The sequence below is a fragment of the Homo sapiens genome, chromosome 6 (assembly GCF_000001405.40).
Source record: "Homo sapiens chromosome 6, GRCh38.p14 Primary Assembly".
Lineage (NCBI taxonomy): Eukaryota > Metazoa > Chordata > Mammalia > Primates > Hominidae > Homo > Homo sapiens.
The window spans coordinates 72,979,954-73,003,882 of record NC_000006.12 but is presented as its reverse complement, the minus strand read 5'-3'; the positions used below and the strand labels follow the sequence as shown (position 1 = coordinate 73,003,882).

Here is a 23,929-nt window from a genome sequence, read left to right as displayed (position 1 = left end):
TGATAAGAACCTTACCTTATTATCACAGACTTAATTTCTTGCTTCAAATGAATAAAGCACCAGGCCCATTAAATTAGCACACATTAACTCATAAAAACTCTGGAAGGGACTAGCCATTTTGGATATTAAAATACAATGTGATATACTGTGCAAATGGGGCTCCTCTGCAATTTTATTGATGAAAAAAAGGTTGTGTTTGTGGGTTTGTGTGTGTGGCATGCTGCATTTAAATGTTAGCATCTAAGAGTTTGTGAATTTCCCATACAACTTCCTTCCCAAACAACGATCCTGAGAGAGGCCCAGAAAGTATGTTCTTGCTCTCCTATCTGGGGAATCCACACTGCAGTCACTCTTCGTTCAAAGGAGCCGAGTCTGTCTCCTGTTTGGCAACTTTGCTAAACTATCAAGTGTCCTAATTGGTTGTTACTCAGCCACTGGCTCATTTTCATGGTCTGATATTGCTCATGGATTCTCATTTGCTATTCCTTTATATTATTAATAATAAGATCATATATTAATAATAAGAATAGAAAAGGAAGTGAATGATTTCCTCTGCTACCCATACACTTTCCATTTCCTTCTAGTCAAACTGCTGGATAAATGACTTCTCAGCTCTGTCTATTCATATATAAGGATAAGAAACAGAATTCAGGATCAGGCATTGTCTACCAATTAATCTACAGATATTTTTATTCCTACAAATGTGTAACTTCTAGGATCAAGGCGGGAGCTGAGTTTCCAAGGAAAATGTCTACTAAAAGGGAAGGCTCTGTTTCAAAGTTGAAGTTACTTATTTTGAAAGGCAGTGTTAAAAAAAAAACCTGAGCTATTTGCTCTAGGTCATATTTTTTACTTGTGTTCCTCTCTGGGAAATTCATATAGTAAGCTGTCTTAAAATACCAAGTTTCTATGCTCCTCTGGATGATGGTGAAGTTAGTCCCTGACTCCTCCTTGCTTCCCCTGAAAAGTCTTACAAGTCTTACCACCACACTTGATTGGAAGTTCCCAAAGGCCAGGGTTTGGGCAGTATAGCCAGAGTTTGCCTAATTATGCCTACAGGACAAATCTGGCTCCTAATGCCTGTTTGTGTAAATAAAGTTTTATCAGCACACAGTCACAGTCATTCATTTATGTATTGTCTATGGCTGCTTTCATGCTATGATTGCAGAACTGAGTAGTTATAACAGGGTCAGTAAGGCCCACAGAAATGTTTGTTGACCCCTGACTATTCAGGGGTCAATAGATGACCCCACCACATTTATTCCTTGTTTCTTTATATTTATCCCAACATGTTTTCTATGCTGATAATAATGACTAACATTCATAGAGGGGTTCCTACAAGCTGGACACTGTGCTAAGTCCCTTTTAAATGCATTCTCCTCATTCTTACATTATCAATTATCTCTATGTTATCCCCAGAAATTTATGGAATAAAATTATTATAATCCCCATTTTACAGATATGAAAACTGAGAATTAACATTTGTAGCTCTTCCAAGGTTGTGTAGCAGAAAGAGAACCTAAGCACTGTGTAGTCTAAGCCTCTATGCAGTGTGCTGAATAAGCATCAGAGATGAGAATGGTGGTGGTATTCTCGGCTCAGGAAGACACTTCTCTATCTCCTCAAACTGAGGGGAAAGGGGTTGCCATTCTAAACAGAAGGCTCCAAGAGGAAAGAGCCTGCTAGTGAAAAAACCTAGTACACGATGTTAATGATTCATCATGCTTTTTTATTTTTCATTTTTATTTTTTTAGAAATAGGGTCTTCCTCTGTTGACCAGGCTAGAGTGCAGTGGTGCATTCATAGCTCATTGTAACTTTAACCTTGAACTCCTAGGGTTCAAGCTATCCTCCCACCTCAGCCTCCTGAGAGCTGGGACTATAGGCGCAGGCCAGCAGGCCTGGCTAATTTTTTTTAAAATTTTTTGTAGAGACAGGGTCTCACCATGTTGCTCAGGCTGGTCTCGAACTCCTGGCCTCAAGGGATCCTCCCACCTCAGCCTCCCAAAGTGTGTCTGGCATCATCCTACTTTTGATTCATGCATCTAATGATTCAGGATACTGTGGATTATATTTTAAGTTGGTCCTAATGGACTAAAATTTGCAAACTAGTGGTCAAAATCCAGTGCACCTACCTGACCCCCAAACTATAAATGAGAAAGTAAAATACAGGGATTACTAAGGTAGTTGGGAGGATGATGTGGCATCAGATGACAGTGATAGATGTCCTCCTCTGGTGAGGAGCCCTTATCTGGATATTCCCTCCCTTTCCCCACCAAGTCCAGGTTTCCCAGAAAACACTTGGAAAAGCGAGCAGGGGATTATTTAATCATTAAGATGCTTTCCTCCTTCAAGAGCATCCCAATGGCAGTTTTATAATCTATGTCTGTGCTCGAAACACATCTTATTGCTAGTTCCTTCTTCATCAATATTTGAATGCTGTTTTAATTTAGCCTTGTACAGCTGGTAGCCTTTGGTACAGTGCCTTCTACAATGGGTACTCAATACATGTTTTCAATTGTGTTGAAATAATTCCTATGCCAAAAATGGATTTTCAGGAATGGTCTACAAATTCTTACCACTAGGAATTAAAATCTAGTGAGGTGGGCAAAGTGAACACATTGGATCAGAATGAAAGGCAGAGGCAGATAAGTGCTAAGAAAAATGCTACAGAGGCTGAAAGTGGGGAGGGATTCTATTTAGTTGGGAAAGGTGGGAGCACATCAAGAAGTGTTCCAAAAAAAAGATGGTGTTTGAGATGGTCTTTGAAGGAAGAGTAAGGTTTCAACAAGAGAAATTTCTGGAGAAACACATCCTAGAAGGAGGGTACAAAATGTGGAAGGCAGCAAGTCAGAAAATGAATGAGGCAAACTATTTGCCTTTTGTTTCATGGAACGAGAATTATCAAAGTTTGCAGAACAGGATGAAACAGGTGGCTGAATTGGGAGTCTGGAGCTAAGTGGAGGAGAGGCTTGTAGGGCAGAGTCTGCATTTAGTTCAGTAGAAAATGGGGAGCCATTGAAGATTTCTGGACAGGATAAAAGGGTCATCAGAGTTGCCTTCTGGGAAAATTAAGTTGGCAGCAGTGTGTATAGAATGGATCTGAGTAGTGAGAGGCAGGAACAAGGGTAACAGTGAATCTAGGTTAGGCTGTAAATGAACATAGTAGAAATGAGAATGGAATAAACAGGGAGACTGAAGGGATGCTGTAAATTGGGGAGTGGAGTCTGGGAAGCGGGTGTGGTGGCTGGAAAGTCTGAGATGACTGTACAAGTCAGGAGAAGAAAAGTCAAAGTCAGAAGGAGAAACTGGTTTTGGGGAGAAGAGGATAAATCCAGTTTTAGACATCCACGTGGAAATGTGGATTTAAATCTCGGCTATAAATTCTAGCTGGAGATATGGAAGTATTTTTTTCCCCCTAGAAAAAGTAAATGTATGGAACATGTTATCCTGACAGTGCAGACCAAGCATATAAAGTTTTGGTAAATAAGCATAGAGGATATTCTAGAACCATTTCTTTCATTTGGCAAATGACATCATGGAGAACAATGAACACATTCTGCTCTGAATTAGCTCTTGGTATCATTGCCAGAGGCAGACTTTCTGGCTGGAGAAAACACTGAACTGACACAGAGTGACCCCCGTAAGGTGACAGTGTTCAGATGTTGGGCTGATTGGCAGTGACATAGTGAGGTTTGTGTGTGTGGTTTTGCTGACTCTATTGCTTCTGAGGATCCTGTGCGCATGTATGCATGCTGATTACTGACCATGACCCCAACGCACCTCTCTAGTGGTTGAATACAAGTAGAAGCGGTGGCAAGAGTCACTGGGCTCAGGCTATCCTAATGTAGAGTCCACGGTCCTCCAGGGGATCTGTGTGTAAAATTTAGGGGGTAGTGAACATAGAGGGGGGATATTTATGTGTTTATCTTTCGCTAACCATGGCAATAGATCATGATGGTATTAGCCGTACTTGTGAATTTGTTGCTCACAAAAATCACAGATTTTAAAATCTCATTTTACAGTTGTAGATGAAACCATAATTGTTTCATCTTGAATATTGATTTTGCTCATCATTTCAAGATTATGTAGCTATTAGCCCTACTGCTAGGGGTTGTTTTTAATAAAGAAGCATATGCATTGCCATATTGCAAATTTGTGTAATGTTTTAATAATAGATTTCATCATAATTTTTCCTTTTGTAGTCACATATATTTGAGGAATGGTTCATAGTTTCCACAAGATTGCTGAAGGGCCCATGGCACACATAAAAATTAAGACATCTGTAATTGAGAATTGGTAAGACGGGGCTGGAAGAGGGCCCAGTTTTGCACCTGTCAGCTTTATGATGAGTTTAAAATATATGAATGTTTTTCCATGTATACGTTAATCCTGAGGTATCATAAGATGGATATTCCTTCAAAATTAGTCTGGAACAGCTATTGGCCTTTATTTTGCCTGAAACAGTCATTTATATTTTGTTTCTGAGGAAATTCATTTTGATCTAGATCTTTTATCCAAAACTTATTTGGAAGGCACTGATTATTGTAAGAGAAAAAGAAGGAAATTTATAAAAAATTTAAATATTACCAACTCAAAGGACTCTATGTTTACTCAAGAAAACTATCATCAGCCTTTCTTGTGGGTTAATTAAGAATCAATTTGTTAGATTTAATTTGACAAAAAGCTTGACTTGGGAATCTCATGGGTGCTTGTATAACAGATAATGTCTAGCTTCCAGAACTAGTGCATCAAGCACAGATTCATTTAGCAAGAATGAAAATGATGTGAAAATAAAACATTCAGAAAAGCTCTACTGAACGAACCATGGCAAGTTACCCTATTGGCATTCACACAAACACACAATCCCCAGGTACTCACAAACAATTGTGAATGATGCAATGAAGAAAGGAGAAATGGAGCTGAGGTTTAAAGTAGACATCTCCCTGAACTTAGCATGATACAACAGTCAAATCAACAGAGTAGGCTTTGCTGATTGAAGCAACCACACATTTCCACCTAGCAGGTGCTCTCTGCAAGCATTTTGGCAGACTGTAAGTGTTCCATGGCATAATGGCCCATGTAAGTTAGTTATACTCATTAAGAAAGTTTTGAGGGAGGGGAGATCTTAAATTTTTTTTTTTTTTGAGATGGAGTCTCACTCTGTCGCCCAGGCTGGAGTGCAGTGGCGTGATCTTGACCTACTGCAAGCTCCTTCTCCCGGGTTCACGCCATTCTCCTGCCTCAGCCTCCTGAGTAGCTGGGACTACAGGCACCCACCACCAAGCCCGGCTAATGCTTTTTGTATTTTTAGTAGAGATGGGGTTTCACTGTGTTAGCCAGGATGGTCTCGATCTCCTGACCTCATAATCCGCCCGCATCGGCCTCCCAAAGTGCTGGAATTACAGGCATGAGCCACCGTGCCTGGCCCTTAAATGTTTTAAATGGAATGGAACCATAGGATTGAAATAAAAGATGCTAACAGGAAGAAGATATAGAATATTTTAAGAAAACAATTCTTCAGAAATAACTTCCAAAGGAAATTCAACCCTGCTTCTGACTTTTCATAAACTTTAAGTATTGCTTTGATGAAGTATGATCTTCAGTGCATTTGACAGGGGACCTTGAGAGCATTTCATGAATTATGATGACTGGAGTATGCCTGCTGACATTAGAGACTATAGCTGACCCCACTGGCTGGCACAGCACTTTGCCTGGAGGACAGGCCACCTAATGAAATCAAAACTTCATCAGCAGAGGGAAGCACTGGAGTCATTTCTTTCTTCCAGCATCCTAAATTTACCTTTCTTTCTAAACTTGGTACTTTGCAAAATATCCTTTATGCATAATGTTTCCATAAGAGAAGTGCATTTGGCACCTGGGATCTACTCAGAGCATGCCTCAGCTTCCACTGCAAAGCAATAAAAATTAAATATGACATTTTTAGTGTCTTTAACGGTGATTTGGAATAATTGATTAGAACACTGCACGATTCTGCTTTTCAAGTGCAATGAACCTTAAATATTAACAAAGACCCTAATCAATAAATACTATCACTGAAATCTCTGTGAATTTTTTTTTTTTTTTTTTTTTTTTTTTTTGAGACAGAGTCTTGCTCTGTCACCCAGGCTGGAGTGCAGTGACGCAATCTCGGCTCACTGCAAGCTCCCCCTTCCGGATTCACGCCATTCTCCTTTCTCAGCCTCCTGAGTAGCTGGGACTACAGGTGCCCATCACCATGCTTGGCTAATTTTTTTTTTTTTTGTATTTTTAGTAGAGATGGGGTTTCACCACTTTAGCCAGGATGGTCTCGATCTTCTGACCTCGTGATCCGCCCGCCTCTACCTCCCAAAGTGCTAGGATTACAGGCATGAGCTACTGTGCCCGGCCTGTGAAGTTTTAAAAATATCGTCATCAGCGAGCAGTTTTTAAAGAATGAAATATTGCATTTTACATGTGGGATGTTAAGAGGAAATTGGAGGGTATGGGAAACTGTGGTTTCTGCTTGCTTAGAGTATTTCTTTAAAGGACTATGGCTAATGTAAAAAAGCTAGGAGATGGCAACAGAACCCATAAACAGTTCAAGAGGTTTCCCTCAGAGCAGTCAGTGGACTCCGCGTAGACAGACATGGAGCATGCCTTCTCACCTCAGGATCAGGAAATTCGTGTGGCCAGAAGGATTTCTGATTCAGTCTCCCTTTGAGGACAGGGATTATTTTTGAAACATCACTGATAGACAGTTGTGCAGTGTCTCTCTAAACCCCTCCAGCATCCAGGACCCTCCCATCATTTTACGGCGGCATAGCCCTGTTACAGACAGCTCTACCGTTGGAAATTGATTTTCTCCTGAGTTCGCTCTCCTTGTCTGGGACCTTTACTCCTTGGTCAGGATCTGGACCACAGAAGACGTGTGCTCCTTCCTCCCTAAGAGAGTTCTTCAGATGTTTGAGGTTGGTTTTATCATGACTTCCCTGTTGGTCTTCAGATTCAATATACCGAGCCCAGTTTGCTGCCTACTTTGTATATGAAATTATGTCCTGACGTGTCATTCTCCTTGTCACTGTTCTTTACGTTTGCCCAGTTTGTTGTTACATCCCTCAAAGTGGGACTGAGACTCATTCTCATTCTTCAGTGTAAGCAAAAGAATTGGCATTTAATCACCAACAGTAAATATCTGCATTGTCCATTCTTGCTGGGGAATACAGATTCAAACTGGATACTGCCCAGCTACAGCAAAAGTTTGGTTTCAAAAAAGACTGTCTCAAGTATATGCAATCACTTAATTTGTTGTACTTTTCCTACCACACCACAGGGCCTGGAGCAAAGCTGACCACTGGCAATCTGTGTACTTGGACCCTACTTCTTTGGTCCCTAAAGGAATTACTTTAACTAGGAGTAAAAAGCATTTAACCAGCTTACCGTATTTTAAGAATTTCTCCCTATTTCACATTGTATTTGCTCAATGAGGCATCCTGTGAGAAATTTCTCTCAGGATTTTATTGCAAGAAAAATCTATTAACACGTTGCTTCTGGCAAAAGGGATGAAGTTTTAGGTTTCGGAGACTGTGATCTTTTAACATATTTGTTTCCTTGCCTTGGATGCCAAGAGGCTCAAAGGTGAATTTGGGACCCACATTACAAATAGTAATAGTGTCCCAGATCCTTCTGGTATACATTTTTATGGATTAACTTCATTCCCAATTTCTTTGCACTGTTCTATCATTATCTTACTTTCACTGTATTATATCAATCACAAATATTTACAGACATTGTACCAGGAACTGGGAACTCAGGCATAGTCTGTGTCCTCATCAGGGCTTTCAGTTAAATGGGAAGACAAACTTTTGCTTATTTTTATCCACTTGTACCGCATATATTATGTAAGCAGCCACAGATGTTTTCTGCACGTTACAAGGTATTCAGGATATATTTGACCAAGTAACAAAAGCCGTAAAGATGTGTTTTTGTCTATTACTACTCTTTCTTTGAAATGGGAGTATTCAATCTAAAGTTGCATTTTTTTTAAAAGAACTAAATGACGCCATTGATTCAAATTGAACTTAAATGAAAATGAATAGATTTTGCTCACTTGGATTTCTGGAAAGTCTTTATATTTGTTACATTTACATATTACTATGGTAATCTTGATTCATTTATTCCTAGCATGAACTACCCACTCCCTAAACAAGAACCTCCTAATGTTTTACCCTTATCTTCCGAATTTCTTTACAAACACCATATCTTGACTTTGGAGCACCCCTATCAGGTACCTCTTCTCCCACGACTATCATCTTACCTGAATTTCTCTTTGTTTCCCTCAAAGATATTATAAAGCACTTATCAGTGCTTTGCTGAAATCAAGACATTTTATCTACTCTATTCCCCTGATGTAGCAATCTGGTTAACCTATCAAAATAAGAAATAAGCATTATTTAATGTAATTTTTTTACTCTTGATGAACTTATGTTATTTTCTAGGAATGATAGTTGTTCTTTCCCTTTTTTTTTTTTTTTTTGAGACAGAGTTTCGCTCTTGTTGCCTAGGCTGGAGTGCAATGGCGCAATCTCAGCTCACTGCAAAGTCCACCTCCTGGGTTCAAGCGATTCTCCTGCCTCAGCCTCCCAAGTAACTGGGACTCCAGGCGTGCACCACCATGCCTGGCTAATTTTGCATTTTTAGTAGAGATGGGGCTTCACCATGTTGGTCAGGCTGGTCTTGAACTCCTGACCTGAAGTGATCCACTCGCCTTGGCTTCCCAAAGTGCTGGGATTACAGGCATGAGCCACTGTGCCTGGCCCTCAAATTTATTATAAATCATTTGCTTAATATTCTATCTAGAATATTTCTAGGAATTGTTATTGAGCTTATCAATATACAAAGCCCAGGGCCTCCTATTTTACTCCTTTTTGGCACTCAGGATATTTTTTCTCTCTCTGGTCATTTGGCATTCATCACATTTTTTCAAGATTTTTTAAAATTTATCATACTCCTGTACATAAATAAAAGCTAAAATATTATGAGAAACTATTAATGAAAGTTCTTCAGTTTCATCTTCAAATACTTTGATACCTTATGATACAAAGCTAGATGCAAAAATATGAACTTATTAATAGCCAACAATTTTCCCATCTCATATTTTCACTGTTTCTTAATCATATTTTTAAAAATCCCTTTTAGTTTAAAAAAAGAAAATCATGGGAGGAGGAGCCAAGATGGCCGAATAGGAACAGCTCCGGTCTACAGCTCCCAGCGTGAGCGACGCAGAAGACGGGTGATTTCTGCATTTCCATCTGAGGTACCGGGTTCATCTCACTAGGGAGTGCCAGACAGTGGGCGCAGGCCAGTGTGTGTGCGCACCGTGCGCGAGCCAAAGCAGGGCGAGGCATTGCCTCACCTGGGAAGCGCAAGGGGTCAGGGAGTTCCCTTTCCGAGTCAAAGAAAGGGGTGACGGACGCACCTGGAAAATCGGGTCACTCCCACCCGAATATTGCGCTTTTCAGACCGGCTTAAGAAACGGCGCACCACGAGACTATATCCCACACCTGGCTCAGAGGGTCCTACGCCCACGGAATCTCGCTGATTGCTAGCACAGCAGTCTGAGATCAAACTGCAAGGCGGCAACGAGGCTGGGGGAGGGGCGCCCGCCATTGCCCAGGCTTGCTTAGGTAAACAAAGCAGCCGGGCAGCTCGAACTGGGTGGAGCCCACCACAGCTCAAGGAGGCCTGCCTGCCTCTGTAGGCTCCACCTCTGGGGGCAGGGCACAGACAAACAAAAAGACAGCAGTAACCTCTGCAGACTTAAGTGTCCCTGTCTGACAGCTTTGAAGAGAGCAGTGGTTCTCCCAGCACGCAGCTGGAGATCTGAGAACGGGCAGACTGCCTCCTCAAGTGGGTCCCTGACCCCTGACCCCCGAGCAGCCTAACTGGGAGGAACCCCCCAGCAGGGGCACACTGACACCTCACACGGCAGGGTATTCCAACAGACCTGCAGCTGAGGGTCCTGTCTGTTAGAAGGAAAACTAACAACCAGAAAGGACATCTACACCGAAAACCCATCTGTACATCACCATCATCAAAGACCAAAAGTAGATAAAACCACAAAGATGGGGAAAAAACAGAACAGAAAAACTGGAAACTCTAAAACGCAGAGCGCCTCTCCTCCTCCAAAGGAACGCAGTTCCTCACCAGCAACAGAACAAAGCTGGATGGAGAATGATTTTGACGAGCTGAGAGAAGAAGGCTTCAGACGATCAAATTACTCTGAGCTACGGGAGGACATTCAAACCAAAGGCAAAGAAGTTGAAAACTTTGAAAAAAATTTAGAAGAATGTATAACTAGAATAACCAATACAGAGAAGTGCTTAAAGGAGCTGATGGAGCTGAAAACCAAGGCTCGAGAACTACGTGAAGAATGCAGAAGCCTCAGGAGCCGATGCGATCAACTGGAAGAAAGGGTATCAGCAATGGAAGATGAAATGAATGAAATGAAGCGAGAAGGGAAGTTTAGAGAAAAAAGAATAAAAAGAAATGAGCAAAGCCTCCAAGAAATATGGGACTATGTGAAAAGACCAAATCTACGTCTGATTGGTGTACCTGAAAGTGATGTGGAGAATGGAATCAAGTTGGAAAACACTCTGCAGGATATTATCCAGGAGAACTTCCCCAATCTAGCAAGGCAGGCCAACGTTCAGATTCAGGAAATACAGAGAACGCCACAAAGATACTCCTCGAGAAGAGCAACTCCAAGACACATAATTGTCAGATTCACCAAAGTTGAAATGAAGGAAAAAATGTTAAGGGCAACCAGAGAGAAAGGTCGGGTTACCCTCAAAGGAAAGCCCATCAGACTAACAGCGGATCTCTCGGCAGAAACCCTACAAGCCAGAAGAGAGTGGGGGCCAATATTCAACATTCTTAAAGAAAAGAATTTTCAACCCAGAATTTCATATCCAGCCAAACTAAGCTTCATAAGTGAAGGAGAAATAAAATACTTTATAGACAAGCAAATGCTGAGAGATTTTGTCACCACCAGGCCTGCCCTAAAAGAGCTCTTGAAGGAAGCGCTAAACATGGAAAGGAACAACCGGTACCAGCCGCTGCAAAATCATGCCAAAATGTAAAGACCATCGAGACTAGGAAGAAACTGCATCAACTGATGAGCAAAATCACCAGCTAACATCATAATGACAGGATCAAATTCACACATAACAATATTAACTTTAAATATAAATGGACTAAATTCTGCAATTAAAAGACACAGACTGGCAAGTTGGATAAAGAGTCAAGACCCATCAGTGTGCTGTATTCAGGAAACCCATCTCATGTGCAGAGACACACATAGGCTCAAAATAAAAGGATGGAGGAAGATCTACCAAGCCAATGGAAAACAAAAAAAGGCAGGGGTTGCAATCCTAGTCTCTGATAAAACAGACTTTAAACCAACAAAGATCAAAAGAGACAAAGAAGGCCATTACATAATGGTAAAGGGATCAATTCAACAAGAGGAGCTAACTATCCTAAATATTTATGCACCCAATACAGGAGCACCCAGATTCATAAAGCAAGTCCTCAGTGACCTACAAAGAGACTTAGACTCCCACACATTAATAATGGGAGACTTTAACACCCCACTGTCAACATTAGACAGATCAACGAGACAGAAAGTCAACAAAGATACCCAGGAATTGAACTCAGCTCTGCACCAAGCAGACCTAATAGACATCTCCAGAACTCTCCACCCCAAATCAACAGAATATACATTTTTTTCAGCACCACACCACACCTATTCCAAAATTGACCACATAGTTGGAAGTAAAGCTCTCCTCAGCAAATGTAAAAGAACAGAAATTATAACAAACTATCTCTCAGACCACAGTGCAATCAAACTAGAACTCAGGATTAAGAATCTCACTCAAAGCCGCTCAACTACATGGAAACTGAACAACCTGCTCCTGAATGACTACTGGGTACATAACGAAATGAAGGCAGAAATAAAGATGTTCTTTGAAACCAACGAGAACAAAGACACCACATACCAGAATCTCTGGGACGCATTCAAAGCAGTGTGTAGAGGGAAATTTATAGCACTAAATGCCTACAAGAGAAAGCAGGAAAGATCCAAAATTGACACCCTAACATCACAATTAAAAGAACTAGAAAAGCAAGAGCAAACACATTCAAAAGCTAGCAGAAGGCAAGAAATAACTAAAATCAGAGCAGAACTGAAGGAAATAGAGACACAAAAAACCCTTCAAAAACTCAATGAATCCAGGAGCTGGTTTTTTGAAAGGATCAACAAAATTGATAGACCGCTAGCAAGACTAATAAAGAAAAAAAGAGAGAAGAATCAAATAGACACAATAAAAAATGATAAAGGGGATATCACCACCGATCCCACAGAAATACAAACTACCATCAGAGAATACTACAAACACCTCTACGCAAATAAACTAGAAAATCTAGAAGAAATGGATACATTCCTTGACACATACACTCTCCCAAGACTAAACCAGGAAGAAGTTGAATCTCTGAATAGACCAATAACAGGCTCTGAAATTGTGGCAATAATCAATAGTTTACCAACCAAAAAGAGTCCAGGACCAGATGGATTCACAGCCGAATTCTACCAGAGGTACAAGGAGGAACTGGTACCATTCCTTCTGAAACTATTCCAATCAATAGAAAAAGAGGGAATCCTCCCTAACTCATTTTATGAGGCCAGCATCATTCTGATACCAAAGCCGGGCAGAGACACAACCAAAAAAGAGAATTTTAGACCAATATCCTTGATGAACATGGATGCAAAAATCCTCAATAAAATACTGGCAAACCGAATCCAGCAGCACATCAAAAAGCTTATCCACCATGATCAAGTGGGCTTCATCCCTGGGATGCAAGGCTGGTTCAATATACACAAATCAATAAATGTAATCCAGCATATAAACAGAGCCAAAGACAAAAACCACATGATTATCTCAATAGATGCAGAAAAAGCCTTTGACAAAATTCAACAACCCTTCATGCTAAAAACTCTCAATAAATTAGGTATTGATGGGACGTATCTCAAAATAATAAGAGCTATCTATGACAAACCCACCGCCAATATCATACTGAATGGGCAAAAACTGGAAGCATTCCCTTTGAAAACTGGCACAAGACAGGGATGCCCTCTCTCACCGCTCCTATTCAACATAGTGTTGGAAGTTCTGGCCAGGGCAATCAGGCAGAAGAAGGAAATAAAGGGTATTCAATTAGGAAAAGAGAAAGTCAAATTGTCCCTGTTTGCAGACGACATGATTGTTTATCTAGAAAACCCCATCGTCTCAGCCCAAAATCTCCTTAAGCTGATAAGCAACTTCAGCAAAGTCTCAGGATACAAAATCAATGTACAAAAATCACAAGCATTCTTATACACCAACAACAGACAAACAGAGAGCCAAATCATGGGTGAACTCCCATTCACAATTGCTTCAAAGAGAATAAAATACCTAGGAATCCAACTTACAAGGGATGTGAAGGACCTCTTCAAGGAGAACTACAAACCACTGCTCAAGGAAATAAAAGAGGACACAAACAAATGGAAGAACATTCCATGCTCATGGGTAGGAAGAATCAATATCGTGAAAATGGCCACACTGCCCAAGGTAATTTACAGATTCAATGCCATCCCCATCAAGCTACCAATGACTTTCTTCACAGAATTGGAAAAAACTACTTTAAAGTTCATATGGAACCAAAAAAGAGCCCGCATTGCCAAGTCAATCCTAAGCCAAAAGAACAAAGCTGGAGGCATCACACTACCTGACTTCAAACTATACTACAAGGCTACAGTAACCAAAACAGCATGGTACTGGTACCAAAACAGAGATATAGATCAATGGAACAGAACAGAGCCCTCAGAAATAACGCCACATACCTACAACTATCTGATCTTTGACAAACCTGAGAAAAACAAGCAATGGGGAAAGGATTCCCTATTTAATAAATGGTGCTGGGAAAACTGGCTAGCCATATGTAGAAAGCTGAAACTGGATCCCTTCCTTACACCTTATACAAAAATCAATTCAAGATGGATTAAAGATTTAAACGTTAAACCTAAAACCATAAAAACCCTAGAAGAAAACCTAGGCATTACCATTCAGGACATAGGCGTGGGCAAGGACTTCATGTCCAAAACACCAAAAGCAATGGCAACAAAAGACAAAATTGACAAATGGGATCTAATTAAACTAAAGAGCTTCTGCACAGCAAAAGAAACTATCATCAGAGTGAACAGGCAACCTACAACATGGGAGAAAATTTTCGCAACCTACTCATCTGACAAAGGGCTAATATCCAGAATCTACAATGAACTCAAACAAATTTACAAGAAAAAAACAAACAACCCCATCAAAAAGTGGGCGAAGGACATGAACAGACACTTCTCAAAAGAAGACATTTATGCAGCCAAAAAACACATGAAGAAATGCTCATCATCACTGGCCATCAGAGAAATGCAAATCAAAACCACTATGAGATATCATCTCACACCAGTTAGAATGGCAATCATTAAAAAGTCAGGAAACAACAGGTGCTGGAGAGGATGCGGAGAAATAGGAACACTTTTACACTGTTGGTGGGACTGTAAACTAGTTCAACCATTGTGGAAGTCAGTGTGGCGATTCCTCAGGGATCTAGGACTAGAAATACCATTTGACCCAGCCATCCCATTACTGGGTATATACCCAAATGACTATAAATCATGCTGCTATAAAGACACATGCACACGTATGTTTATTGCGGCACTATTCACAATAGCAAAGACTTGGAACCAACCCAAATGTCCAACAATGATAGACTGGATTAAGAAAATGTGGCACATATACACCATGGAATACTATGCAGCCATAAAAAATGATGAGTTCATATCCTTTGTAGGGACATGGATGAAATTGGAAACCATCATTCTCAGTAAACTATCGCAAGAACAAAAAACCAAACAACGCATATTCTCACTCATAGGTGGGAATTGAACAATGAGATCACATGGACACAGGAAGGGGAATATCACACTCTGGGGACTGTGGTGGGGTCGGGGGAGGGGGGAGGGATAGCATTGGGAGATATACCTAATGCTAGATGACACATTAGTGGGTGCAGCGCACCAGCATGGCACATGTATACATATGTAACTAACCTGCACAATGTGCACATGTACCCTAAAACTTAGAGTATAATAAAAAAAAAAAAAAAAAAGAAAATCATGCTTTTTTTCCCCAAGTTTTATTTTAGATAGAGGGGGTACATGTACAGATTTGTTACATGGGTATTACACTCTGGTAGTCATCACAGTACCCAGTAGGTAGTTTTTTGACCTACGCCCTTCTCCTTCCCCTCCCCTCTAGTAGTCTGCAGTGTCTATTGTTCCCATGTTTACGACCGTGGGTACTCAACATTTAGCATCCACTTATAAGTAAGAACATCTGGTATTTGTTTTTTTGTTCCTGTACTAATTTGCTTAGGACTTTGGCCTCCAGTTTCATCCATGTTGGGACAAAGGACATGATTTCATTCTTTTGTTTGTTTGTTTTTAGTGGTTGGGTGATCCCAGGGCATTTTATTACTTTATCCCTGAACTTCCTTTGCCTCATCTATAAGATGCGGATAATAATAGCACCCATTTCATAATTATGAAGATTAAATACATTAAGGAAAACACTAGTATGTGCCTAGCACCTGCTAAACACTCAACAAAGGTCATCTGTACACATTGATGTCTCAAACAGGGACGGAATGTTTAACACAGAAAACAGGAGGTTTTAGCCACTCACTTGTTCTCCTGGCTCCCCAAACATGAGCTGCCTCTCCCCAGTTCATCCAAGCCCATCAAGATAGTTGTCCTTGTCCTTGTCCTTAGTCTCCACAGGTGTTCAATGTGAGCCAACTGTCAGATGGCTTTCATCAGCACAACTGAATAACCCACTTATGCCTAGTGTTCCATTATTGGAACGCTAAGTTTATGGGAGTTATTTATATCCTACTGCTCAAGGTCATCACCAAGATCTGATTTTTCACCAAAAAAAACTTGTAATCTCCAGCATAAATGGGATAATCAAAGCAATTGTGGCAGTTTTGAGGGGACAAAACTCTAGAGTTTAATCTTCCAGCTTGGCTAACTTGGAAGCGTTCCTATGAATATAAAAGATCTTGTTGGGGGCGGTGGAGAAGCAGAGACGGGCTCCGCGGCTGTACTTCCAGCTCATGGCCCGGTCACAGTCCTGCTGCAGGTTCTGCTGCAGGTTCTGCTGCAGGCTGTCGGCCGCCTTCTTGCTGAGGGCTATGTTGGACCTTGCAATCGTGCTGCGGGGCTTGGAGGGGGTGGCGGCTGAACGAAGGGGACAGGTTTTTGAAGCCACCAGTAAGTTTGAGAAACTTCAGTTTCTGTTCCTCGTTGTCAAAACCAGCAGTATCCCACTGGCCAAACTAGGTTCCCGTCCACTTCCTGGTTTCACAAGCTTCCGTTTTGCCTGACTCTCGATCGATCTCTCCTTGCAAGGCCTTTCGCCTCACCTGGTCTATGTGCGCCTCGTCCATGTTGCCTTTCTTTTCCAACACCACCTCTAAGTCCGTCTCTGTTTCCTCCTTCCAAGGGTCTCTTGCTGCCCCACTCTCTTTCCTCTTGTTCTTTTTCTTCCTTTTCAGAGCCGGCTCCTCAATGATTGGCTGCTCTACCTTCTTGGACTTCATCTTTTTCTTCTCGGGGGCCTTAGGGCCATCTCCTTTGGGGATGGATGTATTCCGGAGCCTCAACTTTGGCTTCGTTTTACTTCCTTTCCTAGGGCTGCTCTCCATGGACCTGAAGGGCTTGGAGTGGCCTGGGAGGGCATCTCCCTCCTGGTGGATTTTTGTTTTCTTCTTCTTCACCTTCCCACTGTGCTCCCTGGGGCTCTTCTGCTTCCGTTATCTGCCCCAAGGCTGCCTGTTCCTCACCCTTCTTCCCCACTGAGCAAGTGTCCGCAGCATCCCCAGCCTCGCAGAACCAAGGGTTCTGGACTGAGAGGGCTGTGGGGTCCTGGGCCCCCTTTGTTTCCTTCTTGTGTTATTTGAGCTTCTTGCCAACTCTGGTTTCCTCTTCACCCTGTCTGGGGTCTGGGGAGGTTTTCACCCCAGAGGCATGGGACATGGCTGGAGGTGACTTCTTCTTTTTCTTCTCCCCACAGAGGAACTCCAAATGGCCAAGCACCTGCTTCCTGGGATTGGGTGACTTCTCTGACCGTCTGGCACGCAGCGTGGTGTCAGGTTCTACGTGCTCCTCACAAAGGGTGCTGACACCCTTCTTTTACTTGTTTTCTTCACTAGAGGCATCTCAGGTGCCTTCCCATGGACCACACTCTTAGAGGGGGATGTGGCTCTTATAGGAGAAACATTGGCAAAGTAATCATCATTGTTTAAAATTGAGTATTGAGTCTCTGGTTCTTTGACCACTTTCTTCTTCTTTTTCTTCTCTGGGAGCCCAGGGCCCAGGTCTGCTTTGTGTTTCTTGGTGATCATTCTGATGGACCAAACTTCCCCACCTCCACATGAGAGCCTGCTCCACTGTGACCCCAATTTCATTCTTTTTTATGACTGTGTAGTATTCCGTGGTGTATATGTTCCACATTTTCTTTCTTTCTTTTGAGATGGAGTCTCACACTGTCACCCAGGCTGGAGTGCAATGGTGCGATCTCGGCTCACTGCAACTTCTGCCTGCTGGGTTCAAGCGATTCTCCTGTCTCAGCCTCCCGAGTAGCTAGGATTACAGGTGCCCACCACAAGGCCCGGCTAATTTTTTGTATTTTTAGTAGAGACGGGCTTTCACCATGTTGGCCAGGCTGGTCTCGAACTCCTGACCTCATGATTCACCTGCCTTGGCCTCCCAAAGTGCTGGGATTACAGGCATGAGCCACCATACCTAGCCTCCACATTTTCTTTATCCGATCCACCATTGATGGGCAGCTAGTTGACTCCATATTTTTGCTGTTGTGAATAGTGCAGCAATGAACACAGGAGTACATATGTCTTTTTGGTGTAATGATCTATTTTCCTTTGGGTATATAGCCAGTAATGGTATTGCTGGGTCAAATGGTAGTTTTCTGCTTTAAGTTCTTTAAGAAATCTCTAAACTGCTTTCCAAAGTAGTTGAACTAATTTACCTTCCCACTAACAGGATATAAGTTGTCCGTTTTCTCCACAGCCTCACCAGCATCTGTTGTTTTTGACTTTTCAATACTAGCCATTCTGACTAGTGTGAGATGAAATATCATTGTGGTTTTCATTTGCATTCTGTGGTGGAAAATCAGGCTTTTTGATGGAAAATTAGGAAGAGGTTAGGATTTTCATAGCTCTGATCTCTTGGTGTTACTGTAACAATACTGACCACCAACAAGTAGGATTATTTCTTTTCTATTCCTGTAATTTAAAAAAGTCCTTTTTGGGGACAGGGGAATGTTGTGGTTTATCTGGTTTTCAGCTCATCTGAAATTACTCTTGATGACTGTGGTTTTTTAAACTGTTAAAAATATGCTGTTAGTTACATGCCTTCCATTTTCTCAATATTTAAAAACACAGAGTAAAAAATCTGAGTTCTTTGGAGAATTTCTGGGTGAACAAGATTGATTTCTTCCTACGTTCTTTCTTGCTTCTCTTTTTTTTGGTGCATGTGTCACAACATATTGCGCTGTCGCCCACACTGGTGTACAGTGGCCAGATCATAGCTCACTGCAGCCTTGAACATCTGGGCTCACGCAATCCTCCTGCTTCAGCCTCCCAAGTATCTAGGACTACCAGCACATGCCACTATGCCAGGTTAATTTAGACAAAAATTTTTGTAGTGACAGTCTCACTTTGTTGCCCAGGCTGGTCTAACTACTGATTTCATGTGATCTTCCTGCATTGCCCTCACAAAGTGCTGGGGTTACAGGTGTGAGCCACTGTGCCTGACTTCTTGCTTTTCTTATAGGCCCTCTCCAGGGCTTCGAATTTCTTGTTTTTACTGTTATTAAAAAAAATTGTTGGGATTGGTTCCAAAATGGCCGAATAGCAACAGCTCTGGTCTGCAGCTCCCAGTGTGATCGACACAGAAGACGGGTGATTTCTGCATTTCCAACTGAGGTACCTGGTTCATCTCACTGGGACCAGTTGGACAGTGGGTGCAGCCCATGGAGGGTGAGCTGAAGCAGGGCGGGGTATTGCCTCACCCAGGAAGCACAAGGGGTGGGGGGATTTCCGTTTCCTAGCCAAGGGAAGCCGTGACAGACTGTACCTGGAAAATCGGGACACTGCCACCCCAATACTAGGCTTTTCCAATGGTCTTAGCAAACAGCAAACCAGGAGAGTATATCCCATGTCTGGCTCGATGGGTCTCACGCCTATGGAGCCTTGCTCACTGCTAGCACAGCAGTCCAAGATCAAACTGTGAGGCGGCAGCCTGGCTGCGGGAGGGGCATCCACCATTGCTGAGGCTTGAGTAGGTAAACAAAGCAGCCTGGAAGCTCAAACTGGGTGGAGCCCACGCAGCTCAACAAGGCCTGCCTGCCTTTGTAGACTCCACCTCTGGGGGCAGGGCATAGCTGAACAAAGGGCAGCAGAAACCACTGCAGATTTAAACGTCCCTGTCTGACAGCTCTGAAGAGAGCAGTGGTTCTCCCAGCATGGTGTTCGAGATCTGAGAATGGACACACTGCCTCCTCAAGTGGGTCCCTGACCCCCATGTAGCCTAACTGGGAGACAGCTCCCAGTAGGGGCCGACTGACACCTCATACAGCCCGATGCCCCTCTGGGACGAAGCTTCCAGAGGAAGGGTCAGGCAGCAATATTTGCTAGTCTGCAATATTTGCTGTTCTGCAGCCTCCACTGGTGACACCCAGGAAAACAGGGTCTGGAGTGGACCGCCAGGAGTGGACCGCCAGCAAACTCCAATAGATCTGCAGCTGAGGGACCTGACTGTTAGAAGGAAAATTAACAAACAGAAAGGAATAGCATGAACATCCACAAAAAGGACATCCACACCAAAACCCCATCTGTAGATCACCATCATCAAAGACCAAAGGTAGATAAAACCACGAAGATGGGGAGAAACAAGAACAGAAAAGCTGAAAATTCTAAAAAGCAGAGTGCCTCTTCTCCTCCAAAGGATCGCAGCGCCTCACCAGCAATGGAACAAAACTGGACAGAGAATGACTTTGACAAGTTGGCAGAAGTAGGCTTCAGAAGGTTGGTAATAACAAAATTCTCCGAGCTAAAGGAGGATGTTCGAGCCCATCACAAGGAAGCTAAAAACCTTGAAAAAAGATTAGATGAATGGTTAACTAGAATAAACAGTGTAGAGAAGACCTTAAATGACCTGATGGAGCTGAAAACCATGGCATGAGAACTATGTGATACATGCACAAGCTTCAACAGCCTTATCGATCAAGTGGAAGAAAGGGTATCAGTGATTGAAGATCAAATTAATGAAATGAAGTGAGAAGAGAAGTTTAGAGAAAAAAGAGTAAAAAGAAATGAACAAAGCCTCCAAGAAATGTGAGACTATGTGAAAAGACAAAATCTACATTTGATTGGTGTACCTGAAAGTGACAGGGCGAATGGAACCAAGTTGGAAAACACTCTTCAGGATATTATCCAGGAGAACTTCCCCAACCTAGCAAGGCAGGCCAACATTCAAACTCAGGAAATACAGAGAACACCACAAAGATATTCCTTGAGAAGAACAACCCCAAGACACATAATTGTCAGATTCACCAAGGTTGAAATGAAGGAAAAAATATTAAGGGCAGCCAGAGAGAAAGGTCGGGTTACCCACAAAGGGAAGCCCATCAGACTAACAGCGGATCTCTCGGCAGAAACTCAACAAGCCAGAAGAGAGTGGGGGCAAATATTCAATATTCTTAAAGAAAAGAATTTTCAACCCAGAATTTCATATCCAGCCAAACCAAGCTTCATAAGTGAAGGAGAAATAAAATCCTTTACAGACAAGCAAATGCTGAGAGATTTTGTTACCACCAGGCCTGCCTGACAAGAGCTCCTAAAGGAAGCACTAAACATGGAAAGCAACAACCGGTACCAGACACTGCAAAAACGTCAAATTGTGAAGACCATTGATGCTAGGAAGAAACTGCATCAACTAATGGGCAAAATAACCAGCTAACATCATAATGACAGATCAAATTCACACATAACAATATTAACCTTAAATGTAAATGGGATAAATGCCCCAATTAAAAGACACAGACTGGCAAATTGGATAAAGAGTCAAGACCCATCAGTGTGCTGTATTCAGGAGACCCATCTCACATGCAGAGACACACATAGGCTCAAGATAAAGAGATGGAGGAAGATCTACAAAGCAAATGGAAAGCAAAAAAAAAAAAAAAAAAAAAAGCAGGGGTTGCAATCCTAGTCTCTGATAAAACAGACTTTAAACCAACAAAGATCAAAAGAGACAAAGAACACAAGGCCATTACATAATGGTAAAGGGATCAATTCAACAAGAAGAGCTAACTGTCCTAAATATATATGTACCCAATACAGGAGCACCCAGATTCATAAAGCAAGTCCTTAGAGACTTACAAAGAGACTTAGACTCCCACACAATAATAATGGGAGACTTTAACATCCCACTGTCAATATTAGACAGATAACGAGACAGAAGGTTAACAAGAATATACAAGACTTGAACTCAGCTCTGCACCAAGCAGACCTAATAGACATCTACAGAACTTTCCAACCCAAATCAACAGAATATACATTCTTCTCAGCACCACATCACACTTATTCCAAAATTGACCACAGAGTTGGAAGTAAAGCACTCCTCTGCAAATGTAAAAGGACAGAAATCACAACAAACTGTCTCTTAGACCACAGTGCAATCAAATTAGAACTCAGGAATAAGAAACTCACTCAAAATCGCATGACTGTGTGGAAACTGAACAACCTGCTCCTGAACGACTACTGGGTAAATAACGAAATGAAGGCAGAAATAAAGATGTTCTTTGAAAGCAATGAGAACAAAGACACAACCAGAATCTCTGGGACACATTTAAAGCAGTGTGTAGAGGGAAATTTATAGCACTAAATGCCCACAAGAGAAAGCAGGAAAGATCTAAAATCAACACCTTAACATCACAATTAAAAGAAGTAGAGAAGCAAGAGCAAACACATTCAAAAGCTAGCAGAAGGCAAGGAATAACTAAGATCAGAGCAGAACTGAAGGAGTTAGAGACACAAAAAACCCTTCAAAAAAATCAGTGAATCCAGGAGCTGGCTTTTTGAAAAGATCAACAAAATTGATAGACCACTAGCAAGACTAATAAAGAAGAGAAGAGAGAAGAATCAAATAGATGCAATAAAAAATGAAAAGGGGATATCACCACCGATCCCACAGAAATACAAACTACCATCAGAGAATACTATAAACACCTCTCTGCAAATAAACTAAAAAATCTAGAAGAAATAGATAAATTCCTATACATATACACCCTCCCAAGACTAAACCAGGAAGAAGTTGAATCCCTGAATAGACCAATAACAGGCTCTGAAATTGAGGCAATAATTAATAGCCTACCAACCAAAAAAAGTCCAGGACCAGAAGGATTCACAGCTGAATTCTACCAGCGGTACAAAGAGGAGCTGGTACCATTTCTTCTGAAACTATTCCAATCAATAGAAAAAGAGGGAATCCTCCCTAACTCATTTTATGAGGCCAGCATCATTCTGATACCAAAGCCTGGCAGAGACACAACAAAAAAAGAGAATTTTAGACCAATATCCCGAGGAATATCGATGAGAAAATCCTCAATAAAATACTGGCAAACCAAATCAGCAGCACATCAAAAAGCTTATCCACCAAGACCAAGTTGGCTTCATCCCTGGGATGCAAGGCTGGTTCAACATATGCAAATCAATAAATGTAATCCATCACATAAACAGAATCAAAGACAAAAACCACTTGATTATCTCAACAGATGCAGAAAAGGCCTTTGACAAAATTCAACAGCCCTCTCAATAAACTAGGTATTGATGGAACGTATCTCAAAATAATAAGAGCTATTTATGACAAACCCACAACCAATATCATACTGAATGGGCAAAAACTGGAAGCATTTCCTTTGAAAACTGGCACAAGACAGGGATGCCCTCTCTCACCACTCCTATTGAACATAGTGTTGGAAGTTCTGGCCAGGGCAATCAGGCAAGAGAAAGCAATAAAAGGTATTCAATTAGGAAAAGAGGAAGTCAAATTGTCGCTGTTTGTAGATGACATGATTGTATATTTAGAAAACCCTACCCTCTCAGCCCAAAATCTCCTTAAGCTAATAAGCAAGTTCAGCAAAGTCTCAGGATACAAATCCATGTGCAAAAATCACAAGCATTCCTATACACCAATAACAGACAAACAGAGCCAAATCATGAGTGAACTCCCATTCAAAATTGCTACAAAGAGAATGAAATACCTAGGAATCCAACTTACAAGGATGTGAAGGACCTTTTCAAGGAGAAGTACAAACCACTGCTCAATGAAATAAAAGAGGACACAAACAAATGGAAGAACATTCCATGCTCATGGATAGGAAGAATCAATATTGTGAAAATGGCCATACCGCCCAAGGTAATTTATAGATTCAATGCCATCCCCATTAAGCTACCAGTGACTTTCTTTAGAGAATTGGAAAAAACTACTTTAAAGTTCATATGGAACCAAAAAAAGAGCCCACATTGCCAAGTCAATCCTAAGCAAAAAGAATAAAGCTGGAGGCATGATGCTACCTGGCTTGAAACTATACTACAAGGCTACAGTAACCAAAACAGCATGGTACTGGTACCAAAACAGAGATAGAGACCAATGGAACAGAACAGAGGCCTCAGAAATAACACCACACATCTACAACCATCTGAGCTTTGGCAAACCTGACAAA

At 41.7% G+C, this 23,929-nt stretch overlaps 1 protein-coding gene, 1 long non-coding RNA gene and 1 pseudogene across 10 annotated transcripts in view, besides 1 other annotated feature; 1 reads left to right on the top strand and 2 right to left on the bottom strand.

Moving 5' to 3' along the window:
* Positions 1–23,929, bottom strand: part of KCNQ5 (potassium voltage-gated channel subfamily Q member 5) — a 576,790-nt gene that overhangs the window by 194,971 nt on the left and 357,890 nt on the right. The gene's annotated exons all lie outside the window — the stretch shown is intronic.
* LOC105377855 (uncharacterized) overlaps positions 3,509–23,929 on the top strand; it is a 54,497-nt gene continuing 34,076 nt past the window's right edge. The window contains exons 1-2 of the long non-coding RNA XR_007059641.1: positions 3,509–3,692; positions 9,177–9,294. This is a non-coding gene — a long non-coding RNA (uncharacterized LOC105377855). The remainder of the gene's footprint in view (positions 3,693–9,176; positions 9,295–23,929) is intronic.
* Positions 9,474–10,068: an enhancer, noted in NCBI's record as "OCT4-NANOG-H3K27ac-H3K4me1 hESC enhancer chr6:73703538-73704132 (GRCh37/hg19 assembly coordinates)". NCBI's record gives its function as "activates a minimal SCP1, AML or CMV promoter by ChIP-STARR-seq in primed H9 embryonic stem cells {active_cell/tissue: H9 hESC(primed)}" and the evidence as "EXISTENCE:reporter gene assay evidence [ECO:0000049][PMID:30033119]".
* On the bottom strand, positions 15,739–17,582 carry KNOP1P4 (lysine rich nucleolar protein 1 pseudogene 4; annotated as a pseudogene).